Below are 16,262 nucleotides of genomic sequence, written 5' to 3'. Positions count from 1 at the left end.
CTCTGGAGCATTTAAATTTGTTTTTCTAAAATGCATGCACCTTTACTGTTTTATTTACTAAAAATATTGATATATGCTAGTCGTAAAATTATTCATAGTGGAACAGGAATGAAAAGAAATTAAAAACTGTGTAATCAAAAACTCAGCTGAATGTAAGAAAACCCAGTTCCCCTTGAGGAAGAGAAAGGGCTGGAGTCCTTTAAAATTAACTGCCTGTTTTTCTTTCTGTGGCCAGTGAGACTTATCTCTCCCTTTCCCAGGCATTGTGAAGACTCTGTTTCTCTAGCTGTGCAGCTTCAAGGTCACTTGACAGATAATCTCAAGTCGTAAAACATGTTGTTCCTTAAAAAGTAAGAAATGATGTAATGCATGTCTCAGTTGAATAACTGTCTTTGTTTCTCACTTCTGTAATATGCTTCCCTCTGCACAGATTACCCCCCCCGCCCCCGCCCAACAAAATGCTTAAAAGGTAACCGGACTCTTTGTTTGGGGCTCAGTCCTTTGGATGTTAATCCGACTGGTTTGGTGCACCTAAATAATTACATAATTCTTCCTCAACCCCTCAGTCTCTCTGATTCCTTAATTATCCCACAGCAATAGAATACAGAAAAGAATGAAAAAGAGAGTGAGCTCCCTCTAGGCTCACTAGCAGCAGTCACCATTACTGCACCTGATATACTTCCTCCTAGACACTTTTTTTTTCTTTGAGATGGAGTCTTGCTCTGTTGCCCAGGCTGGAGTGCAATGGTGCGATCTTGGCTCACCGCAAGCTCCGCCTCTCGGGTTCATGCCATTCTCCTGCCTCAGCCTCCCTAGTAGCTGGGACTACAGGTGCCCGCCACCACACTCAGCTAATTTTTTGTATTTTTTAGTAGAGATGGGGTTTCACCGTGTTAGCCAGGATGGTCTCAATCTCCTGACCCTGTGATCCACCCACCTCGGCCTCCCAAAGTGCTGGGATTACAGGTGTGAGCCACCACGCCTGGCCCTAGACACTTTTCTTTGCAAACACGTACATTTAAAAAAAACACACACACACGAATGGGCCCATACAACACAGAATTTTAGGCTCAATGTCATTGCCGGCTTTCCGAGTTAGGAAATGTAGGTGCACATTCATTGTTTTCAAGGGAGTCATGGCGTATAAATCCCATTCCCCTATCTGGGGACACTGAGAAGGTTTCCATTGTCCTCCTCTCACCAGCACTGCTCTGCCAAGCACCCCGTATAGCTAACCCTCACTGTTCTGTGTACACTCTTTCCCTGATGGCTTTGCAATAAACCTCTAGGTGTAGGGCTATGGGGTCATGGGGACATGCACTTAAAAAGCTCAGGGTATTATTGCCTCCTGTGTTTTCAGCAGAATCTGCTTTAGGTTGGTTGAGGGGAACCCAAACAGAATCCCCTTCTGTCCTCCCAGGCCCCCTTGAACCCTTTAATCCCTTCTGCACCCCCTCCCCAGTCCCAGTCTTCTTGTTGCTGGTGGACTCATTTTCCCCTGTTGCAAGAGCCTCACTGGTTTTGTCTGTCCTCCATCCAGCACCGTCGTTGTCATCACGATTGGCTTGCAGTGCTGGCCTGGAGGAAGCAGGTGGTAGGGACAGGGTGAATCTGAGCAATGACCAAGCTTGCTGTCAGGATGGGTGTTCTCCTCCCTTCTAAGCTGTGTGTCTTTGGGCTGTTGCCTGGCTCTCCCAGCCTACGCAACAAGGATGCTGAAACCTTACAGGGCTTCAAAGCTATTTGTACATTGTCAAAGGCAGGGCAGATGTGAGGGAGACAGATGATGAAGGAGGCAAGAGGCATCTTGAGGCTTGGAACTGATGGATCTCTTGTTCCCACCACTAAGGGGACACAGGGACCTGCTGGAGACACACTGGGTACCTGGAGTTCTGCCCTGAGGGGGGCACTGAGGGGCCAGAAGAAAGGGGGAGAGCTTTGCTGTCAAGCCTGTGGTTCCAGAGGGAGGTCACTGATCCTGATTCATTCACTTATTCAATAACTTACTAGGTGCCTGCTATGCACGAGGCACTGTCCTTGGTGTTGGGAGACATGGCAAGAACAAAACAGACCCCAAACTTTCCTGCCCTCATGCTCCTTACAGTCTAACCTGGGGCAACTGACAATGAACAAAATAAATAAGTAAAAATATATTGTGTGTCCAGTGGCAATAAATGCTACGGAAGAGACTAAAACAGGAGAAGAGAAGGGGGAAGGGGGAGGGAGGGGTGGCGATTTAAATAGGGCTGTCCAGGAAGGCTCCACCCAAGGCGAGGAAGGGAGTTGAGGGCTCTCCAGGGGAAGAGCCTTCCAGCCCAGGACCAGCAAAGGCCCTGAGGCTGTCCAGTGTGTCCGATGGCCAGCGTGACCCAAGTGGTGTGAGCAGGTAGAGCAGTAGGCTGTGAGGTGGGAGACGTCATGGGTGCCTTTTACATGGGATCACTCCACATCCAGCAGGGAGAACACCCGGAAGGGAATGAGGGCAGGAAGCAGGAAGGCAGGTGAGGAGGCAGAGAGGACGGTGGCCAGGATCAGGGCGGTCGCAGTGGAGGGGGTGGGAGGTGGCCAGAGTCTGACTACATCTCGAAGGCAGAACCCATAGGATTTCTGGCTGGATTGCAGCTGGGATGTGAGAGAAAGAGGAGTCACAGGTGACACCACAGTTTTTGGCCAGAGCACCTGGAAGGATGGAGAAGCCCTGTCTTGAGATAGGGATGGTCAGGAGTTTGCTTTTGGCCATATGACACTTGAGATGCTCTCGGACACCCAAGTGGAGATGCTGAGCAGACAGGGCTGGGTATGAGTCTGGGGCCCAAGGTGGGTGGGGAGAAAGAGAGAGAGAGAGAGATCCAAGCTGGGAACATATTGGTGTTACCACGGTGGATTGGGAGGGATGGGGGTCGTTGGCAGCAGCGCACGTGAAGTCACTGCCACTGCCTGGCCTTTCTCTGCCCCTCAGTCGTGCCTCAGAGAAGAGAGGCAGACATATCTGCCCCGGAGCCCACCCAACTTGGCCCGCCTGCCATTCCCCTCCCCACCTCCCCTCCTGCCTTCCTTTCGTAGTCACCTGTTGTCTAAGTGTGGGCTGGGGGAGGGCGTTGCTGTTTTGGGTTCTCTCTGCCCCCCACTGAACAGAGGAGAGTGCACGGGAGGCCATCAACGCCAGCCCCATCAATCTCGAAAACTAGGTCACGCTGGAGCCTGGGGCCTCCACACTGGGCTCCAGCCACATCTGTCATTGACCTGAGACTCATGCATCCCTGCTCCTGGCAGGCACCATCTGTCACCCACAGCTCCTCTGTCTGTGCTCAGGATGCAGAATGGCCGACTCCTTTGCTGGTTCCAAGCACAGGCCATGGAAAGGGGCCTTGTGTTCATTGCATTTTTCACAGAGAGACTTATTCCCCAGGCTGACTGTCCACTGTGACCACCAGGAAGTTCAGTGGGTTTGCAAGGGCCCCAGTCTCCTATTTCAAGCTATCCTCCTGCCTGGGCCTCCCAAAGTGTTGGGATTATAGGCATGAGCCACTGTGCCCAGCCATAATCAGTGCTTCATACCATCAGATCTGGTATGTGGATTGAAACCTGTTTGTTAACTCGGATCTACACAGAGCCAAGCAGTACAAGAACTTGGAAACTTGGTTGAGTTTTTTAATCTTTTATCCAGGTTTTATCCAGGTTTTAACCTAGATGCTCACTGGGTAGAATTTAAGAGCTCAGGGAAGATTCAGAACCCAGGCAAAACTGTTTCTGGCTGAAGCTTTTCGTCATTTGATCAAGCATATGTAAGGTTAGCTCTGAAAAAGAAGTGTAAACACTGTTAATGATTTTTAAAAATGTAAAACTTTTTTTATATATATTGCATGCACACACACGCCCACACACCCACACACACATACACCGTGTAACCTCCACCCAGCTCAAGATCTAGAACATTTTCATCCCCCATTAAGGTTCCCTAGAGCCTCTCCTATCAGCCGCCCCCTCCCACCAAGAGCTAAGCACTGTTCTGGTCTCTCACTATGGGTCTGTTCTCCAGCTTTCCGTAAGTAGTGTTTTGAATTGCAGCGTATGGACTCTTCTGTGCCTGGCCTCTTCAGCTCCTCATTATACCCATGAAATTCATCCGTGTTTGAGTGTAGCAGGAGTTCCTGCTTTTTAGTTGCTGTGTTGTGCTTTATTGTATGAATACCACATTTTTTTAGTGCTAATGATTTTACTTAAGCAACCTGAAGACGTAGATACTGTGTCTTTTTCAGGATTGTAGCCACAGAGCCTGGCACGGACTTTGTCGAATGAATGAATGAATGAATGAATGAATGAATTGCATTATTGCTCTTACTTTCAGTGGGCTTTAGCCGGGGCTGGGTTCTATCCTCACAGTGTGGCATTGTCACCATATTCATAGACTGCCTCTCGGTCATGCTGGGCTTCTCTATCGAGGGCCTAGTAGTTGCTCATGAAAAGCTCTGGGGAGGACCTCTGGTCCGCAGTCCCTGCCCCACCCCTGCTCTGGCCAGGGCCTGTCCTCTCTATCAGCCCCGTGGCAGAGCACCACCTTGTTATAATCCTGGTTCTGGGGTTGCTTGAGCAATTAACTGATGTGAGCCCTTTCCTTACCTTGGGGAAAGGGATGGAGACATTCCTGTATCGTGTAACCTGAAGTCATCAATGCTTGCTGCAGGGGGGAGGTGCCCAAATCAGAGAGAGGGACTGGACCCAGAGCCCCGCTGTGTGACAGTGGCCACACCACTGCCCTCTCTGGGCCTTGCTTCCCTCAGCACAGAGAGCCTGGCTTTGTCTCACTTCGAGTTCTTTCAGGGCTTTGGTTCACCTTTGCCACAGTTGGCTTGGGAGCCTGTAGGATGGGACAGGTGGGTGATGTTCCAGAATGTTCTGCCTCTGTTAGCTGTTGGGATGGGCCAATGGATCCCGAAGCTGCGGTCCCAGAGTTGCCTCTCCTGGCAGAAACCTGTTGCTCAGCCACGCATGTTGCCGATTGGGCCACATCCCCCAGCTCTGCCCCGGCCCTCGTCTTTGATGGTGAAATGTGAAATCAGGAAGCGGCGAGCTCTTGAGTGAAGTTGTATCGAAATGAATCCATCAAGGCAAATGGGATCTTGATTTTTCTTCTGTTCCGTGGTTGCTGTTTCCTGAGTTGGAAACGCGAAAGGTGACAGGGTGCTTTCAATAGAAAACGGAGTGAGATGGATGATGGAGTGAACGTGGAGTGGGCATGCGAACATGAGGCCCTTGGTGGGGAAACGGGTGCCTCCGACAGGCACTGCACCTTCCAGCTGCGTGCACTGAGGCTGGTCTACGCAGGCCAGACATCTGGGGGGGCCCAAGTGAAGAGAGGCAGAATGTCTAGGTCAAGTTTGTCCAACCCGCATCCCAGGACGGCTTTGAGTGTGGCCCAACACAAATTTGTAAACTTTCTTAAAACATTACGAGATTTTTGTGTGTGTGAATTTTTAGCTTATCAGCCATCGTTAGTGTCAGTATATTTCTTTTTTCTTTTCTTTTTGTTTTGTTTTGTTTTGAGATGGAATCTCACTCTTGTCGCCAGACTGGAGTGCAGTGGCGTGATCTCAGCTCACTGCAACCTCTGCCTCCTGGGTTCAAGGGATTCTCCGGCCTCAGCCTCCCGAGTAGCTGGGATTACAGACGCCAGCCATCATGCCCAGCTACTTTTTGTATTTTCAGTTGAGACGGCCAGGCTGCATGTTGGCTAGGCTGGTGTTGAACTCCTGACCTCAGGTGATCCGCCCGCTTTGGCCTCCCAAAGTGCTGGGATTACAAGCATGAGCCACCGCGCCCTGCCGTGTCAGTGTATTTCATGCGTGGCCCAAGATAATTCTCCCAGTGTGGCCCACGGAAGCCAAAAGCTTGGACAACCCTGGCCTAGGTGTTTTGTCTACACAGTAACAAATATGCAACACGCATATGACTGCTCTGTGTGCTCCCGACAGCATCTCTACTCCATCATAGTATGCGTGTCTGCTGAGTTCAGACGCGGCTCAGACTGATTCTCTGCATAATCGGTGTTTCTTTTTCTTTTCTTTCTTGCTTTCTTTTTTTTTTTTTTTTTTTCGAGACAAGGTCTCACTCTGTTGCTCTGGCTGGAGTGCAGTGGCACAATAATAGCTCACTGCAGTCTGAACCTTCCAGGCTCAAGTGATCTTCCCACCTCATCCTCCCGAGTAGTTGGCACCCCAGGCACACACCACCATGTCCAGCTAATTATTATTATTATTATTTTTTTTTGTAGAGACGGGGTCTCGCTATGTTGCCCAGGTTGGTCTCAAACTCCTCGGCTCAAGCAGTTCTCCTGCCTTGGCCTCCCAAAGTACTGGGATTACAGGTATGAGCCACAGTGTCCGGCCATAATCAGTGTTTCATACCATCAGATCTGGTACATGGATTGAAACCTGTTTGCTAATTCCAGTCTACATGGAGCCAACCACTATGAAAACCTGGAAACTTGGTTGGGTTTTTTAGCTTTTATCTTGGTCTCTGGCTTGATTGAATGTAGATGCTCATGGGGTAGAATCTGAGCGCTCAAGACACGACCACCCAGTGCCTCCTGAAATATCACTGTTAGTCACTCCTTAGGGTGCCCTTTCAAAGTAGGAAATGCGGGAATCTTTTTGAATAGCACCTTCGTGTGGATTTTATAGCCTAAGAAAGGGTCCTGGGATAGCAGCAGAGCTGGGAAACTTTGGGAAGGGAGAGAAGGAAAGATGGAGGGCTCGACCCTCTCTGCAGACTTCCAGCCGGGGGACCAGCCCTGGATTGAAAAACAGGCAAGTGGCCAGGCGCGGTGGCTCACACCTGTAATCCCAGCACTTTGGGAGGCCGAGGCAGGCAGATCACCTGAAGTCAGGAGTTTGAGGCCAGCCTAGCCAACATGGTAAAACCCTGTCTCTACTAAAACTACAAAAATTGGCTGGATGTGGTGGCACGTGCCTATAGTCCCAGCTACTCAGGAGGCTGAGGCTGGAGAATCACTTGAACCTGGGAGGCGAATGTTGCAGTGAGCAGAGATCACGCCACTGTACTCTAGCTTGGGCAATAGAACGAGACTCCGTCTCAAAAAAAAAAATATAGTAAAATAGGCAAGCAATGATGAAGAGGACACATAGCAACAGGGCCTCTCACATCCACAGGTCACTTCCCAGTGTACAAAGCGCTCTCATTTAAAAGATGAGGAGACAGACACAGAGAAGCTCAGCCAGGCATCAGTGCCACACAGCAAACAGGCAGAATTGTCAAATGTGACCCTAACACCCAAGACCTTTCCACAGCTGAGTGAAGTGTTGTCATAGATCTCCTAGTTGTCAAATTACTTTCCTGCTTTTTTTTTTTTTTTTTTGAGACAGAGTCTCGATCAGTTGCCCAGGCTAGAGTGCAGTGGCGTGATCTCGGCTCACTGCAACCTTCGCCTCCCGGATTCAAGCAATTCTCTTGACTCAGCCTCCCGAGTAGCTGGGACTACAGGCGCCCGCCATCATGCCTAGCTAATTTTTTATTTTTGTAGAGACAGGGTTTCACCATGTTGGCCAGGTGGTCTTGAACTCCTGACCTCAGGTGACCCGCCTGCCTCGGCCTCCCAAAGTGCTGGGATTACAGGCGTGAGCCACCACCGTGCCCCACCCTTTTCCTGCTTCTTTCCTGACCACACCATCAGCAGGTCTGTAACTGCTGCTTCTCTGCAGCGTCCCAGAACTAAGCACGTGAATGGCACACGTGAAATAGAAACATGATGTGTCTTTCTCACTCGTGGTCCATGGGGCTTGGCCCCATCTCCCCAACTGGAGGGAAGCTTCTCGTGGCACCATGATCTCGGGCTGTCCCCTCTGCCCACCTCCAGCCTTCCTAACAGTGCTCCATGGTTCAGTGTGGCTTCAAGTTGAAAACATGGTGGGCAGGAGAGGTTTTGGGGGCTGGGAGTAAAGTGAAGTGGTTGACCTGGCCACTGTTTTTTAAGCCTCTGCGACTGGTTTGGTTTAACACTGAAGTGGAATCTGTGTATTAAATGCTGTAATGCCTTAAAATTAACTCCCCCGAGAGCATCTGCCTAATTTTTCTCCTTTGGCTCTATGTAAGTTGCCTTGGCAGGGTCTCTGCGAATCTTAGTCTTCCATATGAAAAAGTACTGCTTGCTAAGTATAGCTTATATCCTGAGCCCCAGGGAGAAAATAGAGAAAAGATTTCCGGTAAAATCAACCTCCGTAGAAGTTCAGTAGAGGGACCTCTTCACACTTGCCCCGGTTCTGATCCTGCATGAACAGTACTTTATCCTCTCCTCCTCTTCCCTGCTGCAGTCTTATGCTCCATGCAGTCCCTCTTCCAGGGAGCTGCTGGACTCATCTCCACGCAGTAGGAGTCTGGCTGCATCACCACTGCCCTCCTCTTACTGGAAACGCTTCAGTCCAAGTTCTGTAGCTCTGTGCCCTGACTCTGCCCTGTCTCACACACACCAGGCAGGTCACGTTGGTGGATTAATGGGACTGGATGAAGGGGACATCAGGCAGTGGAAGTGGCTGTACGGAAACAGGGTGAAGGCTACACCCCATCTAAAGAGAACCAACCCAACTCTGATTATTGCCATGGAAGAATATGGCCTCCATGTTTCCAGATCCTGATTGTTCAACATAATTTTGGGAATCTGAGTTTTTATATGAAATAGCCTAATTTTCAAGCGTTGGTTTATATATATATCTTAAAACACTATATGGGCCATCAACAAAGCGTGTCTGTGGGCCACACACCCACATGTTGGGACCACTTTTGCCCTTTGCTGTGTGGCCCCAAGATGTTGGCAGCTCTCCATAAATGCCATGCCCTTTCCTCTCTGTGACTTTCTCCGTCCTGATCCCTACGCTGTCTTTGGCAGGTCAGCTTGTCCTCATATAGTGCTTGTAACAGCTATGTGACTTTGGGCCAGTTACTCACCATCCTGATGCCTCAGTTCCCTCCTCTATGAAGTGGGAATAAGGGTGACTGGGAAGAATACGTGAGTTAACAAATGCAAAGTGTTAGAAAACGCTGCACATATTGTTCATCAGTGTCATCATCGTCATCATCCTTATTATTGTCCTCCATCTAGTCTTGGCTGTCACCTCTGAGATGCCTGCCTAGACTCCTTGAAAGCAGGCTGTCCCCACCCCACCCCAATTCTGTAACACCCCAATCCCCACAGCCATCTCACTGCATTATCTGTTGGCTTCTCAGTACGCCCTGGACTGTGGGCACCTTGAGAGGAGGAATATCTTTCTGTCCATACACAACTTCGAACAAACACTTGGCCCAGAAGAGGCCTCCATAGAGGCTTACTAAGTGGATGCACCTTTCATGAATGGTGGTCTGGAAGCCTGATACCACTTGATATTTCCATCCAGATGTTATTGTTACCACCCAGGCCAAGAATGTGCTTCTTCTGGAGGCACAACAAGGTGGGGCTTGTCTGGCTGCACCACAGCATAATATCTATCCCTCCTCACAGCTCTGCTCTCTGATGGAAGCAAGGAAACAGGAAGTGAAATTGACAGGCACTGACCAACCTGGTTTCACATCAGGGGTGAATGAAAAGGACGAGCCCCCCTCCCTAGGGTGGGGCGGGAGGGAGGTGGGAGTGGGGGTGGGGATGGGACATGAGTCATGATGTGTCACTGAGATTTTTTTGGATGCATTTTTCAGTTTCAAAAGCATGAGGCGTTATTACTATGGGTTGAGAACCTGGAGTGCCAAATGACTGTGTCCCAAACAGGATGGCGCAATTGGTGTCTGGTAAAGTACCTGGGAGTTTTCTTTGTTCCAAGTGGGGTTTGTGGCTCAGCACAGGGGCCTTACAGTGATGTTATGGTCCCCATACAGTAGCGATCCGGAAGATCTGTGCCCTGACTAATTCTTCTGCCCTTGAGCTGGTGTTTAAAAGAAAAAAAAAAACCCTCTGTGGTCGCAACCAAGATGTAATGATAGACTTTGAGCCCCGAGAGTCTCACCCAGCCTACTCCGGCACGTTTTGGGATGCTGCGAAACTGAATTGAGGTGCCTGTCATCATAAGAGAACTGAACGAGTGGGGGTAAGAATTAAGATCAGCAAGAGCTGTGTTTCTCGCTGGTTGTACAAACAGGCACTTGCCGGAAGCTGCCTCAGTGGGAACAAGGTGGAGCTTCATGAGGGCCCTGTTGAGTCTTTGCTGGGAATGATGGAGGTTTTTTCCATTTTCTCATTTTCCATTACTCTAATATGGTTATAACCTGGGACTTTTTGTGTGTGGGGTCCTGGAAGGATGTTTGTGATATTCAGGAGTTCTGGTGGGAGTCGGGTAGGGTGTGGATAGGGTGAACCTGAAACTTGCCCCAAATTTGTGTTCCATTCATCAATACCAATTACCCACCACATCTTTTAGCATTTATTCAAGAAATGCATGTTGTGGCTGGAAGAATATGGGATTTGGAGTCCACTGTGCCTGGTCTTTCCTGGACAACTGGGTTGGACAAATTCCTCTACCTCTCTGAGCCCCGTTTCTTCATCTTCAATAATGCGTTTGTGATGTAGAGCTTTTGGGAAATAATTAAAGGGATGATGTGCAGACAGGTCCAGACAGACTGACCACAAGGCTGGAGAAGGTCAGTCTTAGGACCCTCCCAAGGCCATTTATCTTTTTTTTTTTTTTTTTTTTGAGATGGAGTCTAGCTCTGTCGCCCAGGCTGGAGTGCAGTGGTATGGTCTTGGCTCATTGCAACCTCCGCCTCCCGGGTTCAAGAGATTCTTGTGCCTCAGCCTCCTGAATAGCTGGAATTATAGGCGTCTACCACCATGTCTGGCTTATTTTTGTATTTTTAGTAGAGACAGGGTTTCACCATGTTGGCCAGGCTGGTCTAAAACTCCTGACCTCAAGTGATTCACCCGCCTTGGCCTCCCAAAGTGCTGGGATTACAGGCACCCTTTATCTAATTTTATTTGTGTATTATCATATTTTTTAAAGAGGGACCCCCAAATTGTATAGGCTTCAGGCTCAACAGAACCTGGACCCAGCCTTGATCTTGTATCTTGAATAATGAAGAACTGGCTCTGGGAGTAAGTGCTGGAATCCTGGCTTCATCTGTCGATAGGGTCCCGCTATTGGCATGCTGTATTTGTTCACCTCATATGCAGTTGCTACGAAGAGCATTTACTTATTACCCCAAATGGGAATCACACCCCTGGGACCAGCCACCCTGTGTAGATAATAACTATGGATAATCCTTGCTAGAAAATAAAAGGTCCAAGGTGATATATATATATATATATATATATATATATTATTTTTTAATTTGCTTCAGTGGCAGAAACAGGAGTAGATGTGAAGGGCTTGGTCCTAGTTGAGAAGTTTCTCAACTGATAATGACGGTTAACATGTACATCAGCTACTACAGGATCTCACAGGTGGGGTTATCAATGGATAGGATGAGGATCTGTGAAGTGGGCAGGGCAGAGGTCATCATGATCCCCTTTTAGCAGATGTACAAACAGACCCAGAAAGGTCAAGGAGGTCATTGGAGGATGCACTGCCACGAAAGGCACAGCCAAGATTCAAATGCAAGTCATCAAAACTCCAAATGTAGTGCTCCTTCAAAGCGTACCACATTGCCTCTCCAAGAAGCTGAGCACAAGAAAGATGGCAGGGTGGAGCTGCTGACAAGTATTTGTTCTTTATGCAGAGTGACCCCATTTTAAGGCTGCCTACTGCGGTGGACGAGAGCAGAGTGGATGGTAGGGCTCTGTTTACTGAGCATTTCTGCCTGCTGGACTCTGTGCCCGGTGGAGCTCACGCAGCCCTCTCAATGCAGCCAGGTACACATCAGTCTCTCGGGTTTATGGAGGAGGAATCTGAGGCTCACACAGGTGGCAGAGGCTCTTTGCTTCCTCCACTCTCTTTCCTTAGTTGTCAGGGTTCGAGGTTAATCTGATGAGGTTGGCAACCTCAACTTGTGGAAAACCAAAACCCCAACTGAGTGTCTTTTATTCTTTCTTTCTTTCTTTTTTTTTATTAGAAGAAAGGGTCTCACTATGTTGCCCAGGCTGGCCTCGAACTCCTTGTCTGAAGCAATCCTCCCGCCTCAGTCTCCCAAAGTGCTTGGATTGCAGGCATGAGCCACTGCACCCGGCTGTGACGACCCTTTGATTCTGCGACTCTATTTCTCCTGACTGACTGTTGAATTAAGACTTTGGTATTGCGTAGGAGGAGATTTTCTTGTGTTTTGATTAATGTTGAACGTTACTCATCTAAGAGGTTAATGTGGAACATCCGTTGCAACTAATCTACCTATACACCTTCAGTCGGGGTACTTACCAGTGCTAGGAAGACTCCTAGGATGTCAGGATGAGAAGGGGCTTTCGAATGTGTCTATTCCAGGGGCTGCAAACCTAGGCACCTACAGGGGTCAGGCAGATGTCTATACCCTGTGATCAGGCCAGGCCAGGTACAAGCCAACAGGGTGTGGCAGGGCCGTGGCATTCAAATTCAAGAACGTCAACACTCTACTGACCGAACAAAACTTGTCATATAGAGAAAATGTGGCCCACCTGCTGTCAGTTTACAACTCAAATGCGGGCAGACCCCTTCATCACACCACCAGTTACTTTGCTGAGGTCCTGAGGGTGAAAGTAACTTGCCCGGCTGGGCGCGGTGGCTCACGCCTGTAATCCCAGCACTTTGGGAGGCCGAGGCGGGCAGATCACGAGGTCAGGAGATCGAGACCATCCTGGCTAACACGGTGAAACCCCGTCTCTACTAAAAATGCAAAAAAAATTAGCCGGGCATGGTGGTGGCGGGCGCCTGTAGTCCCAGCTACTTGGGAGGCTGAGGCAGGAGAATGGCATGAACCCAGGAGGCGGAGCTTGCAGTGAGCCGAGATCACGCTACTACACTCCAGCCTGGGTGACAGAGCGAGACTCCGTCTCAAAAAAAAAAAAAAAAAAAGAAAATAACTTGCCCAAGGTCAAGTTAGACCATGAATGAGTTCACCCAGTCTTGTTTGTTGTTGTAAATTAAAAAACAAAACAAAACACCTACATTTGGATGTAAGGTTTTATAGTTTAGTGTGGTCTCACAAATTATTTTAGTGGGTGCTCATGATATCTTCACTTTAAATATAAGGAGATCGAGGTTCCGAGAGTTTAGCTAACTTCAACTCCATGTTGGGTGACCCCATATCCTGCTTGCCTGGGACAGTCCTGACCAACACTGTCCTATCATCATTATTAATAGCTTAAAAGCCTCTTTTACTCTTCAAAGTGTCCTGCTTGGGGGATAAATCACAGGCCACACTATGGGCCTCAGCCCAAACCATAGGCGGGACTCAGCCGTTTTCCTGGCCTCCTGAGGCAACACGCCTAGTGCACGGCTGTGCAGCTCCGACTCCTGATCTGAGACTCTTTCCTCCTGTGTCTTCTTGTGAGAAGGACGGCAAGGTAGGTGGAGCAGTGTGGCTGTAAAAAGGAGCGTGGACTGCGGTGTCCGTCTGACTTGAGTTCGAATCCTGGCCCTGCCACTTACCCGCCTGAGTTACTTAACCTCTCTGAGCGTCATTTTCCATGCCTGTGAAATGGAGGTAGTAACAACAGCTGCTTCATAGCCTTAGTTTGAGGATGCACTGAGAGAATGCACTCTTAGTGCTGTTGAGTGCTTGGAATCGGTTAACCTTGGGCCCCTGGGGGAAACGTCACATTCTAAAACATTTGAGGCAATCTGCAGCCTCTACCAGCACTGACACCTCCCTGAGGATGAGCAATGGCCTGACCAGCTCCCAGGGCAGGAAGCCGGGCCTCGGCCCACATGCTTGAGATGCTGGTGCCCGAGCCAGGCCTGTGGAACTCAGAGGGGTGGCACTGGGGATGTTTGTGACTCCTCGCTTGTTTCATGGAGGAGGTGGGTTTGGAGTTGAGTTTCTAGAGTGGGAAGGTGACAGGTGGGCTGAGGCGCACTCTGGGATCTGGGTAAGACCTGTTTCCCAGGAACTGCAGGGGCTGGTAAGGTACAGCCAGGGGGCTGGGGGTCAAGGAAGGCTGAGCCGGTGAGCCTGCCAGGGACACGGGGCGATGGGTGTTCTCCAGGTAATCCAGGGAGAAGCACCCGGACCCTAACCAAGCTGCAGCTCCATGGCAGAGGAGCCTGAAATCCAGCCTGGCTTCCTTTGGGGCTGTTCAGCATCTCCTGGGGAGCTTCAAATAAGAAATCCTTTTGTGCAGGCAGCACTCCAGGCTAAGTCAGGATTCTGGGGTAGGCACAGACCTCAGCAGTTTCTGCAGCTCCACTAGGGTTGAGCACCAGGGTTCCAGGCAGTGCGCCAGAGCTCAACCCCCTATCTGGGTCTGATCCTCATTTGCAGACCCATTTGTTACTGTGACGACTAATTATCATTGTGAGCAAATCGGGCAGTGCTGGAAAAGCCCTTTGTAAACCATTAAGGGCCCTGCAGGCATAAAGTCACAGTGAGCAATCCATCCGGCTGGTCACTTGGGGCAGCACCTGCTGACAAATGAGTGTCACCGGGTTACCCCCGGTTTGGGATTTACACTTTGGTCATGGCTAGGTGCAGTGGAGCATTGACTAGATGAAGAAAAGCACCTTTGGGGGCTTCAGGATGGAGCTCTGAGGTCTGCATCCACCTGAACTTGCAGGCAATGGTGTAGTGACCAGCTTCATGTAGGCGGCTCTGGGCCTTCCCTTCTCCAGGCCTCAGTTTCTCCCTCTGTATATGGGGACAGGTGTGAGGCCACCACGTTGCTGTGAGAATTCAGTGTGAGGCTTTTGCTCATCAACACACTTTGAGGTCTCAAAATTTAAAAATCCCCATTTGTTCACAATGATAAATGCCAAAAGCCTTTGTGGCAGGCTGGGGCCTTCTCATTTTTTGTGATTCTTTGACAGGATAAACTGATGATCTCTTCTGATGGAACTTTTTCTATTTTTGCAGCTATTTTCCCACCTTATTTGGGGGCAGTTGTTCTCAAATTTCTTTTTTTTTGTTGTTTAAATAGAGATGGGGGGTTCTCACTATGTTGGCCAGGGTGGTCTCGAACTCTTGGGCTCAAGCTATCCACCTGCCTCGGCCTCCCAATAAGTGCTGGGATTATAGGCATGAGCCACCGCGCCCGGCTTAAAATTGCTTAAGAATTACCGGGGGGACACTTAAAAAATGCAGGTTTCCTGTTTCTAGGCCAGAGGTTCCACTCAGTTGGTTCGGAGTGGGGCCCAGGAACCTGCATTTTCACAAATGCCCTTGGAGGAAGTGTTATCTAGAGTGTGTTTGTTGAGAGGAGAGGTAAGCCCAGTGTATGTGTGGCGGGTGCAGAGGTAGAGCTGAGCCCCTATTCCCTCCCTCCCTCATTTATCCCCAGCCTCCTGCCCCACCTTATCATATCTCCCACCTTAACATACCTCCTCTGAGCACCTGCACTTGGGCTTCGGCATAAATAGACCAGGTTTGACTGCTGCTTCTGACCCAGGAAAATATGTTCCGTGTCTTGGAGGCTGAGTTTTCTTGGCTCTAATGCAGGGGACGATATAGGGCTCAATGAGAGTGAGCCAGCCTTCTTATGCTTCTTTGTACTAGGCACTGGGGGCTCTGAGATGCTCAGCCTGTGGCTTCTCTCTGACCTTGGAGCTGGCCCACTCCTGTCACCCTGTCTTCCTGTCCCAGGGACCCCACTCTTCCTCACCTACGCCTTTGGGCTGACCTCACATTGTGGCCAGTGTTTGGGGAACAGGAAGCAGCCCCATGATGGGCAGAGCCCAGCTCTGGGCCTGTGGGGCCGTGAGGAGGTTCAGGACAGATGACCACATCTAATCCGAAGCCCAAGGAACTGTGATGAATGGCGTGAACCTCAGAAGGGACATTGTGATGAACAGAATGTGTCTCTAGCCCTGCTCTTGATCTTGGGGTCCCCCACTGCGCTGCTGGGATAGAAGAGTGAGGATGAGGATGAGAACAAGAGCTGCCGTTTACTCAGTGCGTGACCATGTGCAAGGCTGTCCTCAGCGGCTTGCTCGTGTTAACTCATTTAATCTTCACATCAGCCCCGTGAGGCTGAAACTGTTACCATCTCCATGGTAGAGATGAAGAGGCAGAGGCCCAGAGTCGTTAGGGAACTTGCCCACGGTCCCAGCTAGTAAGTTCTGGAGTTCCGTGTTGATTCCAGTTCTGGTAGTGCGGTCACACCCACTCTCCGCTATAGCCTTATGAATCACTAGGGCTGGCCTCTCCAT

At 49.7% G+C, this 16,262-nt stretch overlaps 2 long non-coding RNA genes across 2 annotated transcripts in view, besides 4 other annotated features; one reads left to right on the top strand and one right to left on the bottom strand.

Moving 5' to 3' along the window:
- Window positions 1-16,262, top strand: part of LOC105369325 (uncharacterized) — a 63,496-nt gene that overhangs the window by 21,131 nt on the left and 26,103 nt on the right. The window lies entirely within an intron of this gene.
- LINC02954 (long intergenic non-protein coding RNA 2954) lies at window positions 3,631-15,837 on the bottom strand. Its single transcript, NR_186234.1, has 4 exons — window positions 15,716-15,837; window positions 15,435-15,543; window positions 9,353-9,517; window positions 3,631-3,797 (listed from the first exon to the last, which is right to left on the bottom strand). It is a non-coding gene; the product is annotated as a long intergenic non-protein coding RNA 2954 (long non-coding RNA).
- Window positions 9,113-10,312: an enhancer, noted in NCBI's record as "P300/CBP strongly-dependent group 1 enhancer chr11:60828388-60829587 (GRCh37/hg19 assembly coordinates)". NCBI's record gives its function as "activates an origin of replication core promoter dependent on BRD2, BRD4, P300/CBP, MED14 and CDK7 cofactors, with strong dependence on P300/CBP, by STARR-seq in HCT116 cells {active_cell/tissue: HCT116}" and the evidence as "EXISTENCE:reporter gene assay evidence [ECO:0000049][PMID:35650434]".
- Window positions 9,218-9,457: an enhancer, noted in NCBI's record as "active region_4791". NCBI's record gives its function as "activates an Ori minimal core promoter by ATAC-STARR-seq in GM12878 lymphoblastoid cells {active_cell/tissue: GM12878}" and the evidence as "EXISTENCE:reporter gene assay evidence [ECO:0000049][PMID:35858748]".
- Window positions 9,808-10,047: an enhancer, noted in NCBI's record as "active region_4790". NCBI's record gives its function as "activates an Ori minimal core promoter by ATAC-STARR-seq in GM12878 lymphoblastoid cells {active_cell/tissue: GM12878}" and the evidence as "EXISTENCE:reporter gene assay evidence [ECO:0000049][PMID:35858748]".
- Window positions 13,998-14,498: an enhancer, noted in NCBI's record as "H3K4me1 hESC enhancer chr11:60824202-60824702 (GRCh37/hg19 assembly coordinates)". NCBI's record gives its function as "activates a minimal SCP1, AML or CMV promoter by ChIP-STARR-seq in naive and primed H9 embryonic stem cells {active_cell/tissue: H9 hESC(naive and primed)}" and the evidence as "EXISTENCE:reporter gene assay evidence [ECO:0000049][PMID:30033119]".

The sequence above is a fragment of the Homo sapiens genome, chromosome 11 (assembly GCF_000001405.40).
Source record: "Homo sapiens chromosome 11, GRCh38.p14 Primary Assembly".
Lineage (NCBI taxonomy): Eukaryota > Metazoa > Chordata > Mammalia > Primates > Hominidae > Homo > Homo sapiens.
The sequence above is the reverse complement of the archived record's forward strand: the minus strand, read 5'-3'. Positions and strand labels throughout refer to the sequence as shown.